We start from the raw sequence: 23,356 nt of genomic DNA, 5'->3' as shown, positions 1-23,356 counted from the left end.
ACTGTAAGTTTTAAGATCCTGAGCAGAGTTGAATGAGGGATTGGAAGGGGTGGAAAAAAACCAGGAAAAAGAAACTAAATATTTAGTGACTGATTGCTGGAATCATAGTTCTTTTATACATATGTGTCTCATTCTGTATCTTCAAAGGTTTTGTCCTTTCTTTGTTAATGCTGTGTGATTTATTTAATATTTAGAATAATCAATGTGAGATACATATATGAAGATACATTTGTCATAACCTTACATTGTCATATCAAGTCCCACACCAACCATGCTTGTAATAGGAAGCAAAATAAGGAGGTTTAAAGTGATGGATGAGATGTTGTAAATTTGTCTACTTGCTGTGTCTGACTCATTTTTTTCTCTTCCAATTTTTTATAATAAAATACATTAGTATATATATGTTCTTATAATACATTCAACGCAACACAAATTAGAATTATATATTCTATTTGGTCCTATAAAATGAAAGTAGGGTTAGCCTAAGTGTCTGAAGATAATGCAGAAATTTGTCATTTCTTGGTTGTTAAACTACTTTAGGAAATGTGTTAGTGCTCAATTTTATTTGGTGTTTCTTACAATTCCATGACTATAGTGAACATAAAAAGTAAAGAGCCTAACATTCAATAAATATTGCAAGATTATATCTCACAGGCATAAAACCAATTATGTTCTAGAATAGTTAATTTATTTTATTTGGGAAATCCTGGAAAATATCTGAAAACAGTTCCCTTGACACAGATTTAGCCAATACACACATGGTAATTGGCGGCATCAATGTTATACTAAATGATATCTATAAACATCCTTTTAACCAGTGGTTCAATCCTGCTTTCTCACTTCTTTTCCCTGTCCTACGTACTGGCTCCCTGTTTGTCTCTGAGTACTTGTTAAATAGTTTAACTTTTTATCTTATTCTATCTACCTCTGGGGTAAAATTAAAATTTGTGCAGATGGATGCAAATGAAAACAAAGACATATTTTTTCAATAAGCTACTAGAATAGTCAATTGAAAAATGGAGGTATCTATGTATCTTGCAGACTCATCTGTTTGGTAGGAGTGACAAAACATGGGTACATTTAATTAGGTCTAACTTACTGGGAAAGGAGGATGGGGATGAGGTGAGACAAGGGGTAAGATGGGGTGAAATTTTAAGTGGGAGTCCTGGTGGTCAGCAGATAGAAGTGCGATTTTTCTATGTAAGAGGCCTTTGCCTAAGCACCTGTCCTGAATAACTGACACACTCTTTCAAAAGATAACTGATTCAATATTTGGGTGATGACTGAAAGAATTAACCAACTGAAGGACTGAAAATTCTAGAAAAACATAGAAAGGTATGAACTCAGAAAAGATGAACTCAGTCAAAGGTCCTATGCAAAAGCATTAGAGTGACACTGGCCTTGATTTCATCTTGGGTTTAGGATAATCATCACTATATGAAATCTTATAGGTAATTATCATTACAGGCTCAAAATAATACTAATACTCATAAGAACAATACTGACATTTGGATAATTCTTAAAATGCTTTTGAAAGTGCTTTCACATCTATTACTTTAATCTTTCCATTCCCCCCAGAGCAGTGAAGTTTAAGCACTGATATCCCCATTTTAAAGATGAAGGGGCCAAGGCCCAGAGCAGCTGTGAACTCCAGGCCATGAATTGCTCCATGACATGAATGTTAGCAGTTCAGTATTCAGAAGGACCCAGCAAGTCCTGTGATTTCTTTTAGATAATGCCATCCTGTGCAGGAGTCCTGTGCTTTCAGGGAGATTGTTCAGCAAGTAACCTTCCAGCTGCCCAGCTTGCTGGATTGGTCTCTGTCCCTTCACAGACCAGTGGGTGGGTGGCTGCTAGAGCATTTGTTCCTCACCAGCCCTTCTGTGGACCCCTCTTTGTAGATTTCCTGTTTTGATAAGAGGAGCCTGGCTCCAGGAAGCAGGAGTGGGTTTGGAGTTGCTGAAAGAAAGTTATACGTCTCTCTCTTGCTAGCCATATGGAATAAGTCTCAGTCCTTGGTCCTCCTGTAGTTGCTTGCTGGCCCTTTGCAATGAGTTTTCTGTGGCAAATGATGCCAAATGCCTTACAAAGGGAATAGCTTGCAGATGTGGGTATGATAACCTGCAAAGCACAGCTTAAATATAGTAATTGTCTCTAGCCTGCTCTTAACTGTGGCGACAGTGTTTCTACTATGTCATTAGGGAAGGAATTACCAAGTCTTGGAACACAGTGAGCCACGCTTCTGGCACCAGCTGCCAGAGTTTTTACAGAGTTAATTGGCTTCTCACCAAAAAGATTAGGGCACGAGGTTAAAGAATGTGAGAATAAGGAAGAACTAAGATAAATGGGAGACGAGAGTATCCAAAAGCTAACAAAAAGATTTTTGTTTCTATTGTTATTCAACTTAGATATAATCACTTTATCTCTTTGTGCTGAATCCATCATCTCTTTTATTCTGTTTTTCTGTTATCTTCTTCAGTGAGATAACTGAAATTTAAAGGTGAATGGTTTTGCTTTGCAGACTTTCTTTGCCAGCCACCTCCCCTGCCTAGCAGATCCAAGTAGGAAAACACCCTGGCCCTGCCTAGCAGAGCCAAGTAGGAAAAGATCTGAAGAATTTTAGGGCTGGATGAAGTTTAGAGGTTATCCAGTCCAATCTCCCACCTAAGATAGGAGATTTCATCCACTATTCCTTGGCAGGTGGTCTTCCAGACTTCCTACCTTTCAATACCTCACTTTGGACAGTTATTACCATTAGAATATTCTTCTTGATCCTGAATTTTTACTACTCAGAGGTTCTAGTTTTACGCTCTAGAACCAGATGGGACTAGTTTGTTTAGTTTTTTTTTCCCATAGCATATGGATTCAAATATTTCTTATTTATGTATTTATTTATTTATTTAGTTTTGAGACAGAGTCTTGCTTTGTTGCCCAGGCTGGAGTGCAGTGGTGCCATCTCGGCTCACTGCAACCTCTGCCTCCCAGGTTAAAGTGATTTTCCTGCCTCAGCCTCCTGAGTAGCTGAGATTACGGGTGCCCACCACCACGCCCAGAAAATTTTTGTAGTTTTAGTGGAGACAGGGTTTTGCCATATTGGCCAGGCTGCTCTTGAACCCCTGGCCTCAAATGATCTGCCCACCTCGGCTTCCCAAAGTGCTGGTATTACAGGTGTGAGCTACTGTGCCTGGCCACATCAAAATATTTTAATGAGAAAATTATACCTGCCTTAAAGCTGGAATAACTAATAAATTTCATCTTAGTTGTCCAATCCAATAGAGTGCATAGTGGTTGCCTGGAGGGCTATGAGCTGGCCAAACACTACAGGAAGAGAATAATGATTGATTATTAATGTCTTCCACGGACAGAGGAGGAGAGTGGTGGCAGGATGGTGTACCTTTTTAGACCATCCTTAAGTGTAATGTAATCCCCGAGTACCTTTGGTCACTCAATTGTTTTATTTTCATATATCATGGATATTCTCTTTGATTTTCCTGAACAATATTCCTCTTGAAAAATAACTCCCAAAGTTGAACACAGCACTCCCAATGTGGTATGACTAGACCAGAAAACAATGGAAGTATGATACCCATTGAAACATATCACCATTAATGTAGTCAACAATTGTATTTATTTTTTTTGGCAGCCATACCACTCTTGTGACTCATATTGAGCATGTGGCTTACATGCTCACATAGCAGTCAACAATGCAGTATAATTTGAGGGGTACCACAAGAGCCCAGCCACCCTAACATATCTCTTTACTAGGCTGTTTGGTGCTATGGGCTCATTCTATGTGGTCTGATATCCCTTCATTTGTGTTACTCCTTTGGGTTACACAACTGTGTTTGGGGGAATGAATTGAGTCTAGGCTGTTCCCATTAGAATTCTAGAAATTATTAACGCATTGGGGCAGAATGGCTTTTCCATTGCTTCAACAAATATGTATTGATGTATTGATTGCTTACCATTGTTTTAGGCACTGGGGATAAAACAATGAACAAACAAGATGAAACTTCTGTCCTAATGGAGCCTACGCTATAATGTGGGAAGACAGACAATATAAGAAAAATTATAAAATAGATGGTAATAAGTTCTGTGGGGAAAAAAATAGAGCAGAGGGGAAGAATGAGAGGTGGTAGGAGAGGAGACATTGTGATTTGAAATAGAGTAGACAGAGAGGGCCTCAGCTAAGAAGATGAAATTTGAGTAAAGCCCTGAAGGAGATACAGGAGGAAGCCTCAAGGCAGTCTGGGAGAAGAGCAGCAAGAGAGCAGAACAGTAGGTGCTAAGGCTGTGGGAATATGCCTGGCGTGATTGAGGAATACCAAGAAGCCCAGATGGCTAGCAAAGTGATGATGAGAAAAACAGTGTGAGATGAGCAGAGAGACAACAGGTTCCAGGTTGTATAGGTTGGGCAGGCTATTGTAAGGACTCTGACTTTTGTTCTGGGTGAGATATGAGACCATAGGAAGGTTCTGAAAAGGGGAGTGATGTCATCTGACCTTCTCTTGCAAGGATCCCGTAGCTGCTGTGTTGAGAATAGACCGTAGGTGGCAAGGACAGAGGCAGGAGGACTCATTGGAAAATCTCTGTTCTAATCGGGGTGAGAGGTATTGATGACTTTGAACAGGTTGGAACCAAAGAGGTGGATCTAAATTTTGGATATATTTTGAAAAACATAGTCTAAAGAATTTACTGGTGTTTGGTTGTGGGATATGAGAGGGAAAAAAAAAAAAAGCAACCAAGGGCAACATTGAGGTTTTTGAGTCTGAACATCTGGAAGAGTGAAATTACCATTATTCATGTGGGGAATACTGTGAAAACAGCAGATTTGGGAGGAAAATCTGCAGATCTAGGTATCTGAGCAGAAGATTCAGTTAGGCAGTGGGATCTACGGATCTGGAGTTCAGGAGTGCAATCCAGGCTGGAAATGTAACTTCCTCAGCTTGTAAATGGCCATTAAAGCCCTGAGGTTAGAAGAGATCACTGAGAAAGTGAGAGCAGATAAGAAGAGAAAAGGACCAAGGACTGAGTTGAGAGATCAGGTTGATGAGATCAGCAAAGGAGTCTGAGAAGGAGTGACCAGTGAACCAGAAGGAAGCTAGGACAAGGCATGTCCTGGAAGGCCAGAGAAGAAAGCATCTCAAGGATGAGGGAACTCTACTGTGTCAAATGCCACTGAGAGGTTAGGGAAATTGAGGACTGAAAATAGCTGCTGGATTTAGCAACTTGGAAGCTATTGGTGGCTTTGATGAAAGACGTTTTGGTGAAATGGTTGAGACAAAACTCTTATTGGAGTCGATTCAAGAGATAATAAGAGGGGAAAAGTTGAAAATGGCAAGTGTAGACCACAGTTTAATGAGTTTTATTGTAAAGAGGAGCAGAGAAATGGGAAGCAGATGGAGCTGTGTCAAGAGGCGAGATGAGGTCAATAAATTATTATTTTTAAGTTGAAAAAAATTATGATTTTTTTTTTCCCTGATGGAAATGACCACTCTTGAGGGGTTTTCAGTTAACTATTTATCATCAGAATTTTGAATGGAGAAAATCCAGGGCAAATATTTTTGATAGGGTAAAGAAAAGCCAAATTCTTGGAATACATTACAATGTGGGCAGACTGATGGAGAAAGCAGCCTTTGGGTGGCGGGATTAGCAGGAAGTCAATATGAACCTGCTGGATATGGACAGGACTGTGTGTGTCGGGAGTAGGCGGCAGAGGAGTGGACCCTAAAGAGGACTCTCCCCTGCTTCACGCCAAGGGTAGATCCTCCTCAAGAGTACAGAAGACTCCACCCTAACAGGTTAGAATCTAATTTGTATGTCTACCTTTTGTTTGTTTGTTTGTTTTGTCAGCTAACTAGTCAATCAATATGTATTTGTTAAATATCTCCTAATCTCTTGTCTAATTCACCTTTGTGTTTCACTTAGGTTTCCAAGACATGACAATGGTAGTTTTCTATAACAAAGTTTTCTTTCTTCCCTGTAGTGTCAGGTTTCCCCTCAACTCTCCATCTGGTTTTGTTACCTTTCTTTCAAGTTTAAGTGTCAGTTGGATCAAAAGAGTTAGCAATTGTCATATTTTCTGCTACACTCACCTGAGACCCACCTAGTTATCCAGAACTGGGATTCCTTTTAAACAGGGGGCTCACTGGGCCCCATCTTACTCTCACTGTGGGAGAAGGGAGCATATTACTTCTATTCATCCATCTAACCTTCCATCCAACCAATTAATATTTATCTAGTACCTACTTTGCAGCAGGCATTGTTCCTGGCACTTGGGGATTCCACAGGAAACAAGATGGTCATGGCTTCTGCTCTTAGGAATACTACATTGTAGTGGAGAAGATAGATAATAAACAAGTAAAACAGAAATTCAAACGATCATGATGAGTGAAATGAAGACAATGCATAGGATGTTGAGACACAGAATAACAAGGAAAGATACGGATGGCATTTTCTTGGTATAGGTTGACCAGAGAAGGCTTCTGCATTTATAAGCTTATCACTTCCCCACTGGAAGTTATGTTACACGCCATCCTGGTGAAGTGGGTGGGGAATGGTACTCTGTCTGGTATCTGCTGTATTATTTGTCCCTAGATGCTCCAGAGCCTTTCTGTGAGGTGAGAGTGAGACCTGGACATATAATTATATTGATCTAGTCTGAGGTAAGGTAATGAGAATTTAGTAAGAGTAGTAATCTAATAGAATACCTCTCGATAGGATGAGTATTTTCCCTCTGATGCCTGGGCAATCTGGAATCCCGTGGAGTTCTTCCAGATTTCCCCTGGCCCAGGAATTCTGTCCTGGGCTATAGGGCAGGGCACTGGAGTTCAGCCTTAGTGGAAAAGGTGAACATTGGTTGAGTGTTTAAAAATTACATTAATTATAAATGCTAAATATTCAGCCAGAAGGATTTTAATTGCAAAGGGTACTGCAAATTAGCATAATCTGATGGTAACTTGTCAATGTGGGCATTAACAAATTGCCCCTCACCCTCAAAGTTATGTAACAGCAAAACCAACCTACCTGACCAATGCCAGCATTTGTAATGAAACATATATCACACATATATCACACTCGGTGATGTTGAGGGAAAAATAATACTTGCATGACAGATAACTAAATGTCAATCAAAATAAACACCAAGGTCCAAGATACGCTGGAAATTCAAATACACAGCAATGAAAGACTTTTGCTGCAAATGAAACAAGAGCCACATGAATGGCATGACAGAGAAGTTTATGGAAAGTATATTTTGAAGAAAAACCTCTTCTCATTGAAGTTACAAATGCCAGGGACCCCACATGCACGGAGGTGGAACAATACCTGTTATTTTTAGGTACTTTGTACATTTCGGCGTATTTAACGCATGCTTCTGAATTGAGTAGGGCAAAGATTGCCAGAGGATCTGTGTAATTTAAACAGTTAATTTGGGTAAATTTACTGGTAAATACTATTGGCTGACATTTATCTCTATCCTATCCCCTGAGTGCCACCTAGTACAGCGAGGGCTTCTCCCAGTCCCTCTGGATTAGAGAACAGCAAAGGCAGTGCCTTGAAAAAGTTTACAGTTCAGTTCAACCCACCCTGATCTAATCATGGTCTCACAGTGGGTAAAATTACCCCTTCCTGTGAAGTGAAGTTTAAATATCTCAGCTGTATTTCTGCTTGATTCCTTATTTAATGTAACTCGGCTTGTGTTAGTCTTTGTAATGGCTCTAAACCTTAATCACTCCCATCTGTTAAATATTACACGGTAATTTGGTAGTGAAAGAGTACTAGGCTAGGAGCCAGTTTGATTCTAGTCCTAGCTTTGTCACTAATTAGCCGTGTGACTCCAATGAGTTGGTTCATCTCTGCCTTGGTTTACGATCTCCCCATCATCAACCTAAGCTTTCTCTACTCCTCTATGACCTTCCCAATTAGTAGGGAGAAGAGGCAGCTCTAAGAAAGTGCATTGAGACTTCACATCTAAGGAAGTGGAGGTGGAGATGAGAGGAAAGGAAATCATTCTCCTCTCAACCCAGACACACAAGCCTGCTTGTGCCTGGATCTTTTTCCCACCTGGTGTAATGAAACACACATCCCTGTTCCTATCGAAACCCTGATCTTCCATTTGGGCTTTAAGTCCATCCTCTTAGCCCTCTCAAATACTCTTTGGTTATCTGCTTTTCTGCTTTCAGCTTTCCTCTCTCCTGCATCTCCCCAAAATCTTCCTTGTCCCACACGCCCTGCGAGTTACTGCTGCACTTCTCAGCTACCCATTTGCAGTCTGCCTTCTTTAAGGTGTGGTCCACATAGGCTGCCTGTTACAGCCTGAAACACACTTCTGTGACCTCTGCCCTGCTAGGTCAGCCTCTTCCCCATTTTCTCCAGTGCTTTTTCACAACTTAATATTCTGTAAGTAGTCATGACATTGTATGCTCTTATGCCAAGTAGTCTTCACCTTTGAGTGTAGTAGTGTAATTTGATGATATTTTTTCCTGTACGATTTTCTGTATGTCCTGGAATTAATGCAGTAGTTCCCTATTATCCACAATTTTGCTCTGTTGGGAGCAAGCCCCCCAAAATCTGGCCATAAACTGGCCCCAAGACTGGCCATAAATAAAATCTCTGCAGCACTGTAATATGTCCATAATGGCCCTAATGCCCAAGCTGGAAGGTTGTGAGTTTACGGGAATGAGGGCAAGGAACACCTGGCCTGCCCAGGGAGGAAAACTGCTTAAAGGCATTCTTAAGCCACAGACAATAGCATGAGCGATTTATGCCTTAAGGGTGCGTTCCTGCTGCAGTTAACTAGCCCAACCTATTCCTTTAATTTGGCCCATTCCTTCGTTTACTAAAAGGGATACTTTTAGTTAATTTAATATCTATAGAAACAATGCTAATGACTGGTTTGCTGTTAATAAATACTTGGGTAAATCTCTGTTTGGGGCACTCAGCTGTGAAGGCTGTGAGACCCCCGATTTCCCACTTCACACCTCCATATTTCTATGTGTGTCTTTAATTCCTCTAGCGCCACTGGGTTAGGGTCTTCCCGACCTAGCTGGTCTTGGCATTGCTCTCTGGGATTTTGCTTTCTGTTATCCACAGTCCAATGTGGTCTGAAAGTATTAAATGAAAAGTTACAGAAATAAACAACTCAACCATTTTATTTATTTAAAAAATAATTTCAACTGTTATTATTGATTAAAGGGTACATGTGCAGATTTCTTGTATGGGCATATATATGACACTGAGGCTTGAGGTCCCAGTGATCCCATTACCCAGGCAGTAAGCATAATACCCAACAGGTGGTTCTTCAGCTGACATCCCCTTCTCTCCCTCCACCATCTTAGTGGTCTCCACTGTCTATTGTTCCCATGTGTATTCAATGTTTATCTCCCACTTATAAGTGAGAAAATGCAGTATTTGTTTTTTTGTTCCTGTGTTAGTTCACTTAGGATAATGGACTCCAGTTCTATCCATGTTGTTGCAAAGGACATATTTCATTCTTTTTATGGATGTGTAGTACTTCATGATGTATATGTACCATATTTTCTTCATCCAATCCACTGTTAATGGGCACCTAGGTTGATTCCATGTCTTCACTATTGTAAATAGTGCTGCAATGAACATGTGGGTGAATGTGTCTTTTTGATAGAAGAAAGTATTTTCCTTTAGGTATACACCCAGTGGTGGGATTGCCCGGTGGAATGGTAGTTCTAAGTTCATTGAGAAATCTCCAAACTGCTTTCCACAGTCACTGAATTAGTTTGCATTCCCACTTACAGTGTAAGAGCATTCCTTTTTCTCCACAGCCTTGCCAGCATCTGTTGTTTTTGAGTTTTTAATAACAGTCATTCTTACTGTTGTGAGATGGTGTCTCATTGTGGTTTTGATTTGCATTTCTCTGACAATGAGTGATGTTGAGCATTTTTTATATGTTTGTTGGCCACTTGTATGTCTTCTTTTGAGAAGTGTCTGTTCATGTCCTCTGGCCATTTTTAAAAATTTAACTTTTATTTTAAGTTCAGGGGTACATATACAGGTTTGCTATATAGGTAAACTTGTGTTAGGAGGGTTCGTTGTATAGACTGTTTTGTCACCAATAGCCTAGTACCCATTTATTATTTTTCTCGATTCTCTCCCTCTTCCCAGCCTCCCACCTCTGGTAAGCCCTAGCGTCTGTTGTTCTTCCCATGTGTCCATGTGTTCTTATCATTTAGCTCCCACTTATAAGTGAGAACATGTGGTATTTGGTTTTCTGTTCCTGTGTTCGTTTACTAAGATAATGGCCTCCAGCTTCATCCATGTTCCTGCAGAGAACATGATCTTGTTCTCTTTTATGGTTGCATAACAACTCATGTGTTTTAAATTGCATGCCCTTCTGAGTAGTGTGATGAAATCTCAAACCATGTCCCTCCGTTCTGCGCTGGATGTGAATCATTCCTTTGCCCAACGTCTCCATGCTTTCTACATTCCCTGCCCATTAGTCACTTAGTAGCCGGCTCAGCTATCAGATTCACTGTCATGGTATCCAGTGCTTGCATCCAGGTAAATCTGATTTTACTTGACTATGGCCATAAGTGCAAGAGTTGTGATGCTGCTTTGGGAGGCCGAGGCAGGTGGATCACCTGAGGTCAGGAGTTCGAGACCAGCCTGGCCACCATGGTGAAACCCCGTCTCTACTAAAAACACAAAAACTAGCTGGGAATGGTGGCATGCACCTGTAATTCCAGCTACTTGGGAGGCTGAGGCACGAGAATTGCTTAAACCTAGGAGACAGAGGGTGCAATGAGCTGAAATTGTGCCACTGCACTCCAGCCTGGGCAACAAAGCAAGACTCCATCTAAAAAAAAAAAAAAAAAAAAGAGTTGTAATGCTGGCAATACAGATATGCCAAAGAAAAGCAAGCTAGGAAGTGCTTCCTTCAAGTAAAAATGTGAAAGTTTTAATAAGGAGAGTAAATGTATCATATGCTGAGGTTGCTAAGATCTAAGGTAAGAACAAATCTTTTATCTATCAAATTGTGAAGAAGGAAAAAGAAACTCATGCTAGTTTTGCTGTCACACATGAAACATCAAAAGTTATGGCCACAGTGCATAAGTGCTTAGTTAAGATGGAAAAGGAATTAAGTTTGTGGGTGCGAGACATGAACAGAAATGTATTATGATTGATGGCAATCAGGTTCTGTACTATTTGTGGTTTCAGGCATCTACTGAGGGTCTTAGAACATATCCCCCATGGATAAGGAAGACAACTGTAATGACTTTAAAAATTGCATAATTTTCTATGCCTCATTACTATTTTTTTTTCCGCGGTGACCCAATGGCATGGTAAACCACCCTCTAATGTTTCCCATACTTTCGGTGCATTTGTTCCATTTTGTTTTTCCTGGACACCACTGTCTGGGAACCCTCCATTTCTTTGTTGTTTTGCTCTAGTCTGAATGTGTTGCCCTCTAGGCCTGCTACTCAGCTGTCATCTTGGGACTTCCCTTGACCATTGCTAGATGACATAAATGTGATTCAAGAAATTTTATCTGGCAGCCGCTTGTGGGACATATTGGAGCCAGGAGAGATGGCAGCATGAGGACAAATTCAGAGGACTTTGGAATGAGCTCCTGCTTGAGATAATTAGAACTTCAAATATATGCTTATCAGTGAAGCAGAGACTCCTTTCTGGTTCAGTGATAGCATGTCTAAAAAAATAATAATAACATTATTATTAAATATTATTCTAGCTAGCTAGAATCCAGGTCCAATGATGGGAGCAGAGTCACTCTGAGTGTTATAGGATAAGAGATGTACCTCCTGGCTAGATTTTGTGCAGCTGTGGGAGGTGAAGGGCAGCTGCTGCTGGTCAATCCTAAGAGCCAGGCACATCCAGCCACTGAAGTGCTATGGTGAGGGGTATAGGAAACGTCTGTGAGTTCTCAGCCTAATGTCTGGTGATTGGCTTAGGGCCACTGCTGGTCAATGGGGTCAGGAATCTGGAAGAAGGGCTGGGGAGCAAAGAAGAGCCAGGAGAATCTGGATCTGCCTGACATCTTTGAGTCTATCTGCCACTTCTACTAACCACCATGACCTCCAAAGAACAGTGGCTGCAGCTGTTCTTCTGCCTCTAAAATCTCAACACCTTTTGGTGAACTCTCACCAGGAACATTTAGATGAAGGTAATACAGTTCCTGCTAAACCAAACTGATAACCAATCGTTAGGGGCTGAATTGTGCTCCTCATCTTCCCAAATTCATATGTTGAAGTCCTAACCCCCAGTACCTCAGAATGTGACTATATTTGAAGACAGGATCTGCAAAGAGCTAATTAAGGTTGGATGAGGTTCACAGGGTGGGCCCTAATCCAATATGATTGGTATCCTTAAATGAAGAGTTGGTTAGGGCAGAGACAGGCACAGAGGAAAGACCATGTGAAGAGACATTGAAAGACGGTCATCTACAAGCCAAGGAGAGAGATATCCTAGAAGATATCAGCCATACTGACACCTTGATCTCAGATTTCCAGTCTCCGGAACTATGAGGAAATACACTTCTGTTGTTTAAGCCACTCAGTCTGTGGTACTTTGTTAGGGCAGCCTTAGCAAACACATACACTGATCAATCCAGCACGACGCCTTACATTTACATATTGCTTTGTACATTGCAAAGCATTTCAATATTTTTTTAAATTAAATTAAATTTAAAGTTCCAGGATACATATGCAGGACATGCAGATTTGTTGCATAGGTAAACGTGTGTCATGGTGGTTAGCTGCACCTGTTGACCCATCATCAATATGTTAATCATCGCAAATGTTGATAACATAGCTAACACTCATACAGTGTTACTATGTGCTAGGCAATGTTCTGAGCACTTTATATATCAGGGATGTCCAATCTTTTGGCTTCCCTGGGCCACCCTGGAAGAAAAAGAATTGTCTTGGGCCACATACAAAATACACTGACACCAATGATAACTGAGGAGCTAAAAAAAAAAAAAAAATCACAAAAAATATCATAATGTTTTAAGAAAGTTTATAAATTTGTGTTGGGCCACATTCAGAGCCATCATGGGCCACATGTGGCCCACAGGCTGCGGGCTGGACAAACTTGTTATGTATATTAACAAGTTTAATCCACACAATAGCACTGTGAGACAGAGCTGCCTATCTGTGCCCTAATCAACTCTTCATTTAAGGATACCAATCATATTGGATTAGGGCCCACCCTGTGAACCTCATCCAACCTTAATTAGCTCTTTGCAGATCTTCAAATATAGTCACATTCTGAGGTACTGGGGGTTAGGACTTCAACATACGAATTTGGGAAGATGAGGAGCACAATTCAGCCCCTAACGATTGGTTATCAGTTTGGTTTAGCAGGAACTGTATTATCCTCATCTAAATGTTCCTGGTGAGAGTTCACCAAAAGGTGTTGAGGTTTTAGAGACAGAAGAATAGCCGCAGCCACTGTTCTCTGGAGGTCATGGTGGTTAGAAGAAGTGGCAGACAGACTCATCTCCATTTCACAGATGAGAAAAATGAAGTACAGATAATTCAACTAACTTGCTTGAAATCACACAGCTTGTAAGTATTGAAGCCAGGATCCAAACCCTGGCAGTGTAACCCCCTTCTCTTTCTTGCCCTGGACTCTTTCTGGCCTTCCTGGCACCTGACCTTTCTTTCCATTTATATGGCATCACTGTTTACACACACTTCTCAGGCTCAGTCTCCCCTTTTGTGGGTCATGAATCTAATTTCTTTGTCCTCTTGGTGGGTCTCTGCTTTTGTTCACAGGGGAAATCTTCCAGGGAACCCATGTATAATCCCCGTGGCACACACAAGGCCACATGTTTCCCTGGCCACAGCAGGGCTGTGACTGCAGGTTCATATTCTCAAGAGAGGAAGCCTTCACTCCAGAGTGGTGAACTAATTATGTGACATTATTCCAATGGCAAAAAGGAGCCAGGCAGTCTAATGTTCTTTCTAGAAAAAAATTCGATGTTTTTTTTTTTGAGAAGGGTCTCACTCTGTTGTCCAGGCTGGAGTACAGTGGCAAGACCACAGCTCACTGCCTCCTTGACCTCCCAGGCTCAGGTCATCCTCCCATCTCAGCCTCTCAAGTAGCTGGGACCACAGGCATGCACAATCACACCTGGCTAATTTTTTTATTTTCTATTTTGCTGGTCTCGAATTCCTGGGCTCCAGTGATCCTCATGTCTCAGCCTCCCAAAGTGCTGGGATTATAAGCGTGAAAAAAATTTCACTTTTTTTTTTTTTTTGAGACGGAGTTTCACTCCTGTTGCCCAGGCTGGAGTGCAATGGCACAATTTTGGCTCACTGCAACATCCGCCTCCCAGGTTCAAGCAATTCTCCTGCCTCAGCCTCCAAAGTAGCTGGGATTAGGGAACCCTGGCTAATTTTTGTATTTTTAGTAGAGACAGGGTTTCACCATGTTGTTCAGGCTGGTCTCGAACTCTTGACCTCAGGTGGTCCACCTGCCTTGGCCTTCTAAAGTTCTGGGATTACAGGCATGAGCCACCGCGCCTGGCCAAATTTCATTTTTAAGTTACTTTTTGCAGTGGCCTACAGAGTTCCCTGGCCTGAGGTCATGTGATTACTCAGCAGATGTTGGTTCACTAGCCTGAAGTTCTAGAAATCACATTATTTGTGAAACTTTTTTGCTTGTACCAAAATGCACTAAAATCTGTTTAAAACAGAAAGGCGTGTCTATTTGAATGTGTCAGTGATCTCTATTTGGGTCCAAAATGGCAGATTAAAGTGAACTTGGAACAGAGGGGCAGCAGGCAGCCATATGAAATGCCAAGTGAGCCCTTTAAAACGGAGGCCTCGCTTCATGTTGTCAATGAGACTGAGTTATAATTACCCACACCACTTCCTCAAACAGTTAGTTATGTTCTGCTTGGGGCTTCTGATGAAGTGAAATCCTATTGTGATGTTAAAAACATGCATTTCCTTTGCATTTAAAAAGAATCAGCTGATTATTTTCCCACTCATATAACCTCGCCCCACCTTGGAAAAAATGCTATGCAGCAAGCACTATGACGAGATTGAAATAATACAATAATAATAGCAGTAATTAACATTTAATGAGCACTTAATGTATCCGTCACAGCTCTGAATGCTTTACATGGGACTCTTGATTCTCACAACACTTATGAGGCAGACATCATTTTTATATTCATTTTATTGATGGAGAAATTGAGGCCCAAAGAGTTTAAGGGAACAAGTGAATGGTGGAGCTGGAATTTGAATCCAGGTCTCTATTTTTAACAACCCTTACTTGTAACTTCTATGTGTTTTTGCCCTGAAGAAGGGATGATAGAAATGAACAAAACAGATTTTTTTTTTTTTTTTTTTTTTTACTGATAACATTTTACTTCTGATTCTAAACACATTTTGGGTATGGTAGTGACCACTGAGGGGACGGGAGGGGAGCAAAAAGGCTCAGGAGGGTGTGGTCAGTCAAGTTCCTTCCACTTTAAAAATGCCTTTCCTCTCTCTTACCACCAGTTGAAGACAGCTCAGTCCCGTGGGGGAGTCCTGAGAGGCTGCGGTGGCCGGGCAGAGGTGTGAGACAAGCGTATTTGCACAGAGCACTGAGCCCAAGATGCTCTACTGGGCAGAGTTACAGGTACTTTTTTTTGTGACAGAGTCTGGCTCTGTCGCCCAGGCTGGAGTGCAGTGGCACAATCTCGGCTCACTACAACCTCTGCCTCCTTTGTTCAAGCGATTCTCCTGCCTCAGCCTCCTGTGTAGCCGGGATTACAAGCATGTGCCACCACGCCCGGCTAATTTTTGTATTTTTAGTAGAGGAGAGGTTTTACCATATTGGCCAGGCTGATCTCGATCTCCTGACCTCAGGTGATCCACCCACCTCAGCCTCCCAAAGTGCTGGGATTATAGGCATGAGCCACTGTGCCAGGCCACAGGTACTTTTTATAGGAAGCCAGCACAGATGTCTTCAGCCCCCTCAGAGGGTATGACCCATTCTAAACAATTGGGATTTCTTTTTTCTTTCTTTTACAACCCTGATTCTTAAAAACAGCAGTGGTGTCGGTTAGGGCTCCTGGTTACAAACTGCAGAAGCCAATTTCAGTGAACAAAAGTGGACAAGCTGATGACTAGAAGGATACCAGAGATCTCAACAACCAGAGATCTCACAAAGTGGGTGGGAAGGCTAGGAAAAAAAAAGGGTGAAGATGAGCTGGACTGCAGGAGACTAGGAGCAGAGGATCTCTCAAGACCATGTTGCAGGGAGACTGTGGTGAGGACACCAGCTCAGCCAGCCACGGCCAGGACACTGCCGGCTTTCAAGTGCATGGCTCTCAGACATCATCTCCAGCTCTTGCTGCCTCTTAGGGTCACTCTCTTCTGAAGGTATGTGGTCTGTTTGGCTGAGAGTGGGCCATTTGTTTGTGGAAGCTGGAGGACCACGCTGAGTTGTGGAAGTAGGAATACAAAGGCATGACTAACTTCCAGTAAATTTGCACAAACTCTCCTTACTTCAAGAGGAAGAAAACAAGGAACGCCAGGTCTGAGAATGGGTCCCAGAGATGGGCAAACAGAGGAAGAGTAAAGACAGGGTCTCGTCCTATAGTTAACATATATGTCTATTTTTTTTCTCTCTCCCTCTTTCATTTTATTATTTTTTATGTAGATGGGGTCTCTCTTTGTTGCCCTGGTCTTGAACTCCTGGGCTCAAGCTATCCTCCTGTCTTGGCCTCCCAAACTGTTGGGATTACAGGCATGAGCCATTGTGCCTAGCCTTATACATCCCTTGTTCCTATTCTTGACTTTGGAAAAGCTTATGGGTAAAGGGGTTTAGGAAGGGTTGCCTGAGAAGAAATCCACTTCTTTTTTTTTTTTTTTTTTTTTTTTTGGAGACACGATCTCACTCTATTGCGCAGGCAGGAGTGCAGTAGCTCAATCCTAGTTTCACTGCAGCCCCAAACTCCTTAGCTCCAGCAATCCTCTCATCTTAGCCTCCCAAGAAGTTGGGACTATATGCAGGCACTACCATGCCCGGCTAATTCCTGGAATCGTCTCTTAGCTCCCATTGCCTTTGTCATCCTGCTAATTAAAGAGAAAAAACGTGGGTCTGGGTCTGGAAAGGATGCTGATCTGTGGGGGTCTGCCCAACTTTATCTTTTTAATTATCCTGTGCCTTAACCCACGTGTTATTGTAGCATAAATGACACAAAGAGGTAGGAGATTGTCCACTTTGTTCCTCATTTATCAGCATAACCAGCGAAGAAAGGCAGCAGAATTATTTCCTAGCTGCTCTTGGTTATCAAGCCTTTTTAAGTCCTGACATTGATGGGACAGAAATGTTCAAATGAGTTAAAAGTACATACTTTTCAAAGATCTATAAAACTTCCATTTTAAAAAAGGAATACTATAAATTAGGAACCAAATGGCAGGTGATATTTTATAGAAAAAAATGAGAAAAAGAAAACTTGAGTAATACTTTATCTTGGACCCTTGCCTCTGATAAGCTTAGGGTTGCTCTTCTCACCTTTAGGACACATTTTCTAGTTTTACAAGGTTAAAAATACCAAATGCCTTCTTTATTGCTCAAGGAAAAATGCATTAATAGTTGTCAGACTCCAAATGCCAAATATGATGATTCTCTGTGGCTCAGCTAACCAGTATTGATAGAATGGATAAAATAGTTAGTTAAATAACTTAAGAAATTAGAAAAAACCCAGGAAAATAATTTAATACAAAGAACCAAGAGAAAAAATATTGTGCTACATGAAGGAAGAGTGTTTCATATGAACAATTCTGCCTTCAATAGATAACTCCAAACCCAATTCGCCTGGAATTATTTCATGGCATAACTTTGGTAATACTTCTCTTTTTTCGTTCTAGCTTTTGCCTCAAAAGTACTTTGGGGATGAAAATGAAAATGGAATTTACACTAGGGGTAAATTCTGGAGAACATAAAGGCATGGCTGGATTCATGGTGTGTTACCTCTGTAGTCAGTCAGACTAGGTCTAATTCAGGAGGTCCCATGCTTGGTTTAATGATACGCTGTTGTTGTCTGGAAATTCCTAATAAGGTTGGAACAAGGGGCTTCACATTTTTATTTTGCAGTGTGCTTCACAAATTATGTAGTTGGTCCTGCAAAAAAGCTGTATCAATACAGGCTATGCTGGATATAATTAGTGTCTCACAGCAGGCTATGTAAGTGGTTGGCAAACTTTTCCTGCAAAGAGCTAAGAATATGTATTTCAGGTTTTGTGGCTCATACAGTCTTTTGCCTGAAGTACTCAACCTTGATGCTGTAGCTTGAAAACAGTGATAGACAATACATAAACTAGTTAATTTTGTAAATTTCATTTACAAAAGCAAGTCGGCTGCATTTGCCCCCCAACACAATACTTTGTCACACCCTGTGCTAGGCAAATGTTCTTAATCTCAGGTTACCAAGATTGTCTAAGAGATACATAGGTGGGGTGGGCAGCATTCTACTGTCATAACACGCATAGAACACTTTGGTACATTTTTCCCTAATTGAACTATACATACTATTGCTTTCCTAAAGTTAACATTACTCCAAAAGCTTTAGATGTAGTTAGTATACTTTACAATCCCATCAACCTCATGAACTATGAATTATTATCATCCTAAGTTTTCAAAAGAAACCAGGGCTCAGGGTTAAGCAGCTTCAACGAGTTGCACAGTAAGGGGTTGAGACCCAGAGCCTCCATGCATACCATGACACTGCATTGCATCAACTGGTGGAATGGGGAGCAGGCAGTTGGCTATCAGTAGTGTTTGCAAATACTGACATGTGAATGGTTTATTTATTTTATTTTTAAAAATATAAGTGATAGCGGATCCAGTGTCAGCCTTCTAATAACATCTTCCTTACTCACTAATATTATGCTTTCCTCCTGATGGAAAATTACAGCTTAGAACCTTCACTTGCACGTGCTTTCTGGGTACCCATGGCAGGGGCATGTACAAGTATCATCCAGCCCGTGCTGCAAGCAGAAAACCAGACGGGAAGTGCTGCTGAAGGTGTGAGGAGCAGGAAGGTGATGGGGTTGGAAGGGTGTTTGGCACCGTCTCTCTGCAGGCCTGACACTAAAGTTTAAAATGCTATTACTGTTGCTTTCTGGTTGCGCCTCCCACGAGGAGACCTGAAAGTGTCTCTAATACATACATACACTCATACTAATACCCCAAATCTACCTCTTCTTCACGAACTCTCTAATCCAAAGCAAATCTTAAGTATGCAATTTCCTGTTCTTGGCAAAGAATTGCCAACTCGGAAGAATGATGAAGAAAGAGAAGGATGAGATCACAGAAGTTCCTGCTCCATTTAGAATTTAGTCAGTGCAGTAGGGAGAGAAAGGGCACACATCACCTTCTTAGTTCCATTGGAAAGGATACGTTCCCCGGGGCTAGAAAGAAAACTCCCCTGCCTCAGGGCTGTCTTTGGATTTTTTGATTTCTAGAGAACTGCTTCCCATAGTCCAAGGAGAACAGCTCACTGATTCTTCAAGCTGTCCTTTCTGCCATGTGACAGCTTAGCAAAGGCTTTCTGTTTCCTGATTGCCAGCAGGCAAAAGGAGTGTTCTGGATAAGAGGTATGTTGGTGGCATCAAAAGAAAGAGACTGTTGGACAGCAAGTTGAGGAAACAGCCTTAAAATTAGGCAAAAAATTTCACGTGGAAAGATTTTTATGCATTTTTCTATAATTCTTCAACTACTACAAACAAGGGCACCAAACCCAAGTTATTGGCCGGGTGCGGTGGCTCACACCTGTAATGCCAGAACTTTGGGAGGCCAAGGGGGGCAGATCATCTGAGATCAGAAGTTTGAGACCAGCCTGGCCAACATGACAAAACCCTGTCTCTACTAAAAACCCAAAAATTAGCTGGGTGTGGTGGCATGCGCTTGTAATTCCAGCTACTCAGGAGGCTGAGACAGGAGAAATGCTTGAACCCAGGAGACAGAGGTTGCAGTGAGCTGAGATCGTGCCACTGCACCCCAGCCTGGGTGAGCGAGACTCCATCTGAAAACAAAACAAAACACAACAAACAAACAAATAAACAAAAGACTCCACAAGTTATTCCCATACAATTTTGAGCCCAGAAGCAACATATAATAGTCTTGTTAGAAGATCAGCTGTATAAACTCAACACTTAAGATAAGAAGTTAGACTTGGCCTCCTGGCCAGAAGGCTTACCATGGAAATTACAGTCCCCACCCCTTCTCCCTCTCTTTTTTTGAGTTCATAAAGCAATGATTCCAGATTTTAAAGAAGTCTTTACTTTTCCCACTCAGGGAAGAGCAGAGACACTTAAAAGTTGGCCAACCAGTTTTGTCGAGAAGCTTGTGGACAAAAGTGGAAATGGAGATATATTGTGACCACATTTCTGAGCAATTTTAACTCACTGGACTAACTGATATGACATGTCATATCAAATAGACAACAAGCAAATCAGGAACACACCTGCCAGTCCATTGTCAGAAAAAGAAGTGACTACTCAAGCAGCATGGTAGCCCAGTGGTAGGGCAGGTGGGGTCACCTCTCTTTATTTCTTTTTCTCCCTGACTTTCTATTTTGCCTCCATCTTGCTTTTCATTTTCCCTCTCTCTCTCATCATCAGGGAGTGGAATGTGCCTCACAGCAGCTTCCTAAGAGGCAGGAAGAGAAGGCTAAGTGTGTGAAGAAATTCCTCTCGAGCAGTTCGAATAACCTGTTTTCTCTGATTTAGTTCTGGAGAAGGCTGACAAAGAAGAGTTTGGTTATAAGGAGTGGAGATGATAAAGGTTTGCTTACAATGTGGGTTGGGTGGTGGGCATTTTAAATACTAGGGGTGGGGAGGCAGGGAGTGCTGCTGCCACCATCTCTAGAACTCAGTTCATTGCTCACTTAAACTGGTCTCCTCATTACTTTGACAGAACTGCTCTTGTACCTGAAGCTATGTTTAAATACGTTTCCCCATCCTGGCCATAGCAGGAAGACAGGGTAGTAATTTGAAATAAAAAGAAAAAGAATGGAAGACTCAAAGGCATTCCTTAAGCACCCTGCTAGGTAGCCTTCTACTCAGACCAGCCTTGGTCCATTGGTCCATTGGTCCCTGCCCTAAGCTCACTGTCAGGCGGAGAGGGGAGGTGTCAGACTTATAGTCCTGAAGATAGGGGCTCCCAGATGTAAGATGCATGTTAAGACAGGATGAGAGTTAATTTGGAGTCATCAGTTTTGAGGTACAAAAGAAAATCATTTTTCTTGCTCAGCGGCCACACCCTCATTTGATTCTAACATAATCTGTGTTAGTTATCTATTACTGTGTTACAAATTACCCCTAAAACAGAGCATCGTGAAAACAAACATTTGCTATCTCTTCATTTCTGTGGGTCAGGGGTCTGGGTGAAGCTTATGTGGGTCCTTTGCCTTAGGGTTTGTCATGAGGCTGCAAGCACAGTGACAGCTGGGGCCACAGATTTGTGGAGGCTTGCATGGGGGAAGATCTGCTCCAAGCTCACTCAGGCAGCTCCTAACCGACCTCTGGCTCTCTGTAGCTGCGGACTGGAGACACCAGTTTCTTGCCTCTCATAGGGCAGCTCACACCATTGCAGGGGCTTCCCTCAGAAATCAAACAAGGGAGAAAGGAATAGGAAGAGTGTGAGCAAGATGGAAGTCCCACACTTTTTGTAACCTTATCTTGGAAGTGGCACACTATCATTTTTGCTATATACTGTTTCTTAAAAATGCATTCACTCAAGGGGAAGAGATTGCCCAAGGGCATGAATACAAGGAGGCAGGGATTTCCAGGGACCATTTTAGTTGCTGCCTGTAACCAGCTGGACAACCAATGGTAGTCTTCAGACTGAAGTCTAAATGACTTTTGGTTGCCTTCAAAACCCAAATCCACCCTGCAAGAGTACAGAGCTACCACCATTGAGGATATTAAAAAATGAAAATGTCGTGAACTCTTATTTAAAGTATTTAAACTTCTGACTAGTTGAAGAAACTATGTCAAAGGAGACAACACCCTTTTGGATATATAAAATATGATGACTGCGAACCCCGTAGGTTCCATTCACACTGTATATTTGTTTTCATGATGAGGCTTTTGCATGTTGATAATTAGCCAAAATAACACTATTCCATTTTCCAAAGTAAAAATAAATTCCTTGTGTGAGTCTAGCTCCTACTAAATTGTAGGGGCTGTGACATGGGCAGGAAGGAGAGTGACTCCCTATAGTCACATGGTTTGGTCATTTAAGCCCCCAGACAGGCAGCAGAGGCCTGGGTACCTGAATCCAGCACCTTCTGGCAACTGCATCTAAACCTACACAGGCTGGTGCCAGCACAGCGTAACTGTGCTCAGCATGGGCAACATGATGGGAAGGAGACCCAGGACCAAGATGAATAGAACCGGCTCAGGTTCTAGCTAAGCACCAGATTCTACCAGGGTGCTTTGTCCACCCTGCTCTCTGTAAAGCTTTTGTCACTTTGCAAATTTAATTCTCATGGATTGGAAGAAGGGAAGTTCATATCTAGAAACTTGGAGACATTGTGAACCAGGAAAAAATGGTATCTTGATTGCTGGCTGCTCCAAGTCTTATTGGCTTGTGGCCAAGCTTTGGCCTGCTTGTTAGAGCTATGCAGGGAATGCAAAGAGGAGAGTCTAATTCTCTCAATGGGAGTCAGAAGCAGGGCTGATTTTCTCTACTCATATACTTAGAATTCACCCATAAGCCCACTCCCTTGGCCTCAAGTGGGGCTCTGGACTTTGGCCTAAGCCAGATTCCTTATTTCCTCTAACTTGCTCCTGGTTCTAGTTATTAAGCCAAAACTTTGTTCTAAACACAAGTTGTGAGTGATTGGGTCTTCTTATCTCTATCTTCAAAGATAAGTTATACATTAGCAAGATTATTAAAGGGTGGGGTAGGCTAAGAAGGCAGAAAGTTTAACTCATTAGTGACTAGAGTGGGTCTTCGAGGTCACTCAAAGTCTGGAAGAAAGGAACGCACTGGAGGAGGCACTGGTTTCCTTGCTGGCATTCAAATAGAAAGAGTATGCACAGCGGGCATGAGAAGAAAAGGCTCGGGGCAACTAAGCTTTTTCTGAACACTTCTGCAAGTCACTTAGGAAGCTGTCATCTGAGGGGCTCCTCCAAGTTCCACTCACAGACAAGAGTCCCAAAGAACTAGGATAGAGAGAATTAGCTTGTTGGTGGGAGTAGAGGAACCAAGCACAGGGTCTTACGATTTGATTTTTGTTTTCTCTTTTCTTTTCTTTTTTTTTTTTGAGACAGGGTCTCACTCTGTCACCAGGCTGGAGTGCAGTGGTATGATCTGGGCTCTCTGCAACCTCTGCCTCGAGGGTTTG

General features: G+C 41.8%; 1 annotated feature.

The window, feature by feature from the left end:
* Positions 15,760 to 15,869: an enhancer, noted in NCBI's record as "active region_22627". NCBI's record gives its function as "activates an Ori minimal core promoter by ATAC-STARR-seq in GM12878 lymphoblastoid cells {active_cell/tissue: GM12878}" and the evidence as "EXISTENCE:reporter gene assay evidence [ECO:0000049][PMID:35858748]".

The sequence above is a fragment of the Homo sapiens genome, chromosome 5 (genome assembly GCF_000001405.40).
Source record: "Homo sapiens chromosome 5, GRCh38.p14 Primary Assembly".
Classification (NCBI taxonomy): domain Eukaryota; kingdom Metazoa; phylum Chordata; class Mammalia; order Primates; family Hominidae; genus Homo; species Homo sapiens.
The sequence above is the reverse complement of the archived record's forward strand: the minus strand, read 5'-3'. Positions and strand labels throughout refer to the sequence as shown.